Here is a 5,210-nt window from a genome sequence, read left to right on the forward strand (position 1 = left end):
TTGTTACCTTTCCTCAAGGATAGAAGAATCACTATAATCCTTACTATCTCTAAGAAAAAGTGAAAAAGACCCAACTGACTGTCTTTAGGGTGCTTCAATGCTTTCAACACGGATTAATTTTTTGGTTGGGCTATCATGCAGCATTGTCAATCAAACCCTCCTAGAATTGTCGTGTGACATCAGCTCTCAGAACAGCTGCAGTCATGAGTGCTGAAGGTTAGCTACAAAAGAAATGCAGATCACTTTCCTGACCTTCATAATGTCTGAAGCCTTTAACTTTCTGTGAAGGACTGAGAATAAAAATTATTTTGCAGATGGGGCTACCAGAGGATATTTGTCATGGGCTTAAGATTATTTCATGAAGGTAAGACCGGGTATAATGACTACACAAGAAAAAATATTATTTTGGCCAAGGCCATTTCTAGATGGAGTTCTACATAACACCAACCCCTCTAGATGAAATTTGCTCAGTGATCATTTAGCTTTTCACTGGCAGCTGTATAGTGTGTAGGTCTTTGTTGTGCCATATATATTAATTTAAGGGACATACTTGCCTTGTAAATAAACTCCTATTTGGTGTTTTCCTCATATTTTTCTCCAACTATATCTTATTGGATATATCTAAGAGGTCAGTGGGTAGGTAAACCTTTACAAACCTTCGATGGATAAAAAATCATCTATTTTAAGTACTGATATTCAGATCAATGCTTTTCATAATATATGTTAATGTATATTTTTAAGAGATTGGCAAAGTCCTTTGGAATGATATTGCTAATGTAATAAACTTCTAAAGTCTCCTTTTCTCTGTAAACTGTCTTTTTAAATATCACTAAATGAATCATACAGATTAAACATATGGAAATCAGATTGAACACTTAATTCCTAATTGAGAATTTCATCATTTACCCTGAAATAGCACTTAGTAAGTATCTCCTGTTATTTAACATTCTCCATGCATTACTGGATGAACAGCTGCAAGAACTATCCAGAGCTTTATCTTTTTCACTGTCTTTTGCTGCATCACACACTGCAGACCAGGCCTATCCTTAACACTGGCGGGGCTTGAAGCAGGAGTACAGATGTAGGTTAGTATATCATATGTCGTAATATGTAAAAGGTAGACATTATATCTACAAATATAAAAGTTATACATTGAAGCTAGCTGCCAATAAAATATACTTTCTTCATCTACCTTGATAAATATAGGTTCATAACAACAAAATGGAGTAATATGTATAAAGAATACATATAAAGAATAATATGTATATTATAAAATAATATGTTTTTATATGACTGAATGTCAGCAAAATACAAAAGATGACAAAATTTAATTATTTTTTGATTTTTGTTGATGTGCTGCTGATGTTTGGATAAATAACAAAAAAAGACACATATAATTCATAAATTATTATATATTTATCCCTCAAAATTGTGTCTTGCCTTCCTTTCCTTTGCCCCTTAAAATTTTGTCTTGCCTTGCCTTTTTATTTAGGTGAAATTCACATAACATAAAATTGATCATTTTAAAATGAACAATTCAGCATCATTTGGGATATTCACAGTGTTGTGCAATTACTATCCCTATCTACTTACAAAACATTTTCATACCCCAACCTGTTAAGCACTTACTTTCCATTTCTCCCTCTCCCCAAGCCCTCATAGTCACGTGCAAAATTCTATTGTAATAATTAAGAGTTTCACATAACTTTTGTTCTATTTCCAAGAATAAAGTGTTAAACGTAAAGGGTAACAGAAAAGTATATGACATTTGAATATAATTTTAAGTCAAAATTTAAATCCAACAAAAAATTAATATTAGTTTTTGTATATTTTTCAAAAGTTATTTTTATTCTAAAATGTCAAAAGTTATATATTAAAATGAAAAGGCAAATTATAATAAGTGACAATTACCAGAATATCAAAATTCCAAGAAAACTTTAAAAGATAAAGTCAACTGTAAAATTTACTTTAAAAAAATAAAAAGCTCAATTACTTTTATAAAAATAAAAATAGACACAGTATTAATATTCTGTGTCTGAATAGGAAATAAAAAGCAAGTTAGAGGGAACTCCTGCCTGACTACCTTTAAGTTGGAACATTGTTTTTTTTCCTGCCTTCAGATTCACACTGAAACACAGCTCTTCCTGGGTCATGAGCCTGCTGGTCTTCAGATTGGAACTACACTATCAGCTTTCCTGTGTCTCCAGCTTGCTGACTGTGAATCTTTGGACTTGGGACTTGTCAGCCTCCATAATTTATTGAGCCAATTTGGTATAATAAATCTCTCTCTCCCTCTCTCTCTGTAGGTATATATTATTTGTTCTGTTTCTCTGTAGAACTCTAGTATATCCCTTTCCCAGGGTTTGTTGTTGTGGCTATTTGTTTGTTTAATGACTTTCTTGAAGTAATTCATACAGTTGTACTCTTTGTTGTGTGCTGCCCATGTAGTCTCTACTTGGTTAGTTTAGTGGTCAGCTAATGATTGAACAGACATTTGCTTAAATTCCAGGACCAATAAATCTCCCTCCCACACTTTGCTGAGAGGCTGTGTGTGTGTGTGTGTGTGTGTGTGTGTGTGTGTGTATGTGTTGGGACACACCTTCAATTCTAGGGAAGTTCACAACTCTGCCTTAGTCTTCACTTCTTGCTTGTACAGAACTAACTCTCAGCTAGAGTTGAGAGATTAGGGCCTCTTCAGGTCTTTCCTGATCATACACACAGTCCTGCAAATGCACATGGCTATCTAGATTCCCAGGAGTATGTCAAAACTTTTCAAAATCTCCTACAGACCTCTAATGACCCACACTTACCATTTAATTATTTTGGTTAGCCTCTTGTTTGCCCCAGCTTGGAGTACTGCTTCATGCAGCTGCAATAATAAACAATTGCCACTGACTGTTTTCAACAAATGGTTTGGGTATTGAGCTTTTCTCATGGAGTGAACTCTGAGTCAGGTCAAATAAAGAAAATCTTTCTAATTTTTTTTAAGGGAGCTGACAGATCAAACAGTGGTAATTCTCTCCGTGTAAGGCTTTTGGAGGAGATCCAAACCCAGCCCTGTTCAGTGGCTGCCAGGATTTTGGTTTTCACAGCCACCATGACTGTGAGGCTCCCAGATTTCAAAGCTACCACATAGTTGGAGAGAGGAAAACAGGAATGGAGCAAGTTAAAACACCACAAAATGTACTATTCTTATCAAAGTTTAGCCCTTTTTTTTGAATAAATGCTTCTCTAATTGTTGCAAGTCTTTGGTTAATTTCCAAAGTTCTGAAAAGGTTAATTTTGGCCATTTGGGGCCAGTTTTTAAATTGCTTTTATATACAACAGATTTTGTCAGGTTCTTACTCTGCCAGTTTAGAAGTGCTTCCTCTATTCTGCAAGTTTTACACGTTCAAAACTTTTGTCTGTCATCTTTACACTTGCTGGAAATAAAAGTTTGGCTGAATATAAAATGATTGGCTTACACTATTCTTTCCTTAAGCATGTTAAATTGTTGAGGTGCTGAAAACTTCTTTGGAGAGATTTGAAGCCAGCCTAATTTTTGCCTTTCTAGGAGACTTGACCCGTTAGCCTTGCTGTGCTCCCCAGGTTGACAAGACTTCATGTCTATTGTCACACATTGACATTGAGAAGGTAATGTGTCCTGAGCGCAATGGAAGCTTCATGTTGGGAACTCGACCAGATTCTGCCCTGAGTGTCTCTTTTGCTGGCTGTTTTTTTGTATTCTTTCTCTATAATTAACCATATTATGAGAATAATAGTTTTAAGTGAGTTCTGGGAGAACTTCCAATCAATTATCAAGACTGATGGTGATTTTGGGCTTCCTTAAACTTGAAGTTGGTATCAGAAGTGAAGGTGGTTATGTGGAAGACTATGCCCTCAGACCTTGCAATTTGGCTAACTCTGGGAATGCCCATTTTAAAAGAGATTTTTTTCTTTTTAAAATTAAATAATTGATTTTTTTACATATTCTGAATATAGGCACTTTGCCAGATATATATAAGACAAACATTTTCTCCCTGTGCGGTTTGCCTATTTATTTTTTAAGCGTCTTCTGATAAGCAGAAGTTTCAACTCTGAGGACATCTAATTCATTATTTTTTTCTTTTGTGGATAGTGCTTTCTGTGTCCTGCCTAAAAAATCTTTTCTTGCTCTGGTGTCATAAAAATATTTTGACATGTTTTCCCTAGAAGCTTTATGGCCTTTGTATGTACTTTAGAATTCGTTGATTATATCTGTCTCCTATCTTCTCACTGAAAATAATGTTTACAGAAGTTTTCTTTATTTACTTTGTGCTTTTACATAGAGGAAAGGAGAGAAAATGCTGACATATGATATCCTGTTCTTACAGGAATCTACGGCAATATAATTTTAATTTAGAAAACCAATCCCAATATCCCATCAACTTCATATATTTGGAATCTGTTCTATTACTAAGAAGCATTAGTTTTTTTCTCCTTTATAGCTCACTTGAAAGTAAACTTTACTCAAGGAGATTGTAGTATCAGCCCCAGATAAGATGAGTGTATAATATTGAAAGAAACACCTCACTTCTTCTTCTGACGAGGAGAATAATGACATGTGCATTTGACAAAGGAAATGTGGAAATAGAGACCCAATGGCCCACGCTCAAATATTGACAGATGGCATTTGGGTAAGGAGGAACAAGGGAAGAAACAGGACAAAAAAGGCCATAATAAGATTTTCAATCTAGGTGTTTCCTTTTTTTCTTAAAAATAATTAGAAAACTTGTAGTTTCCATGTCTATAATAATCTCGGAACTTCCTATCATGGACCTGGTGACTTACAAATACTGGTCTGGTCCATTTGGAGGAAGGAGAACTGAATGCATTTTGTATAGAAAAGAGACATTTGGTAAAAATGATCTAGAAAAAGATAGGTAAATTGAAGTCTTAAATATAATTATGTTGCAGCCTAGCCCAACTTACCACTAATAGAAACGTGAGTGGGTTCAGAATTTGTCTTGAAAGAGATTAAGCAGTAAGTTAGTAAGAATGGCAGAAGGAATGTGTGTTACAGTGGATTTAACTATTACTGAGTCTTCCAGACAGAGTTGAGATCATGACTAAGCATTTACTGCTGTGAGAAGGAATAGGAAAGTATTACTGGGAAAAATCTTTTGCACAGACCCTTTTGCTGAGGTATCAACCAAACCAGTGCATATATGCATGTTTATAAATATGAATGT

At 34.7% G+C, this 5,210-nt stretch overlaps 1 long non-coding RNA gene across 1 annotated transcript; it reads left to right on the forward strand.

Annotated features, from left to right (window-relative positions):
- Positions 1-206: 206 nt before the first annotated feature.
- On the forward strand, positions 207-2,297 carry LOC124901039 (uncharacterized). Its single transcript, XR_007058896.1, has 2 exons — positions 207-364; positions 2,121-2,297. It is a non-coding gene; the product is annotated as an uncharacterized LOC124901039 (long non-coding RNA).
- Positions 2,298-5,210: the final 2,913 nt, after the last annotated feature.

The sequence above is a fragment of the Homo sapiens genome, chromosome 5 (assembly GCF_000001405.40).
Source record: "Homo sapiens chromosome 5, GRCh38.p14 Primary Assembly".
Taxonomy (NCBI): domain Eukaryota; kingdom Metazoa; phylum Chordata; class Mammalia; order Primates; family Hominidae; genus Homo; species Homo sapiens.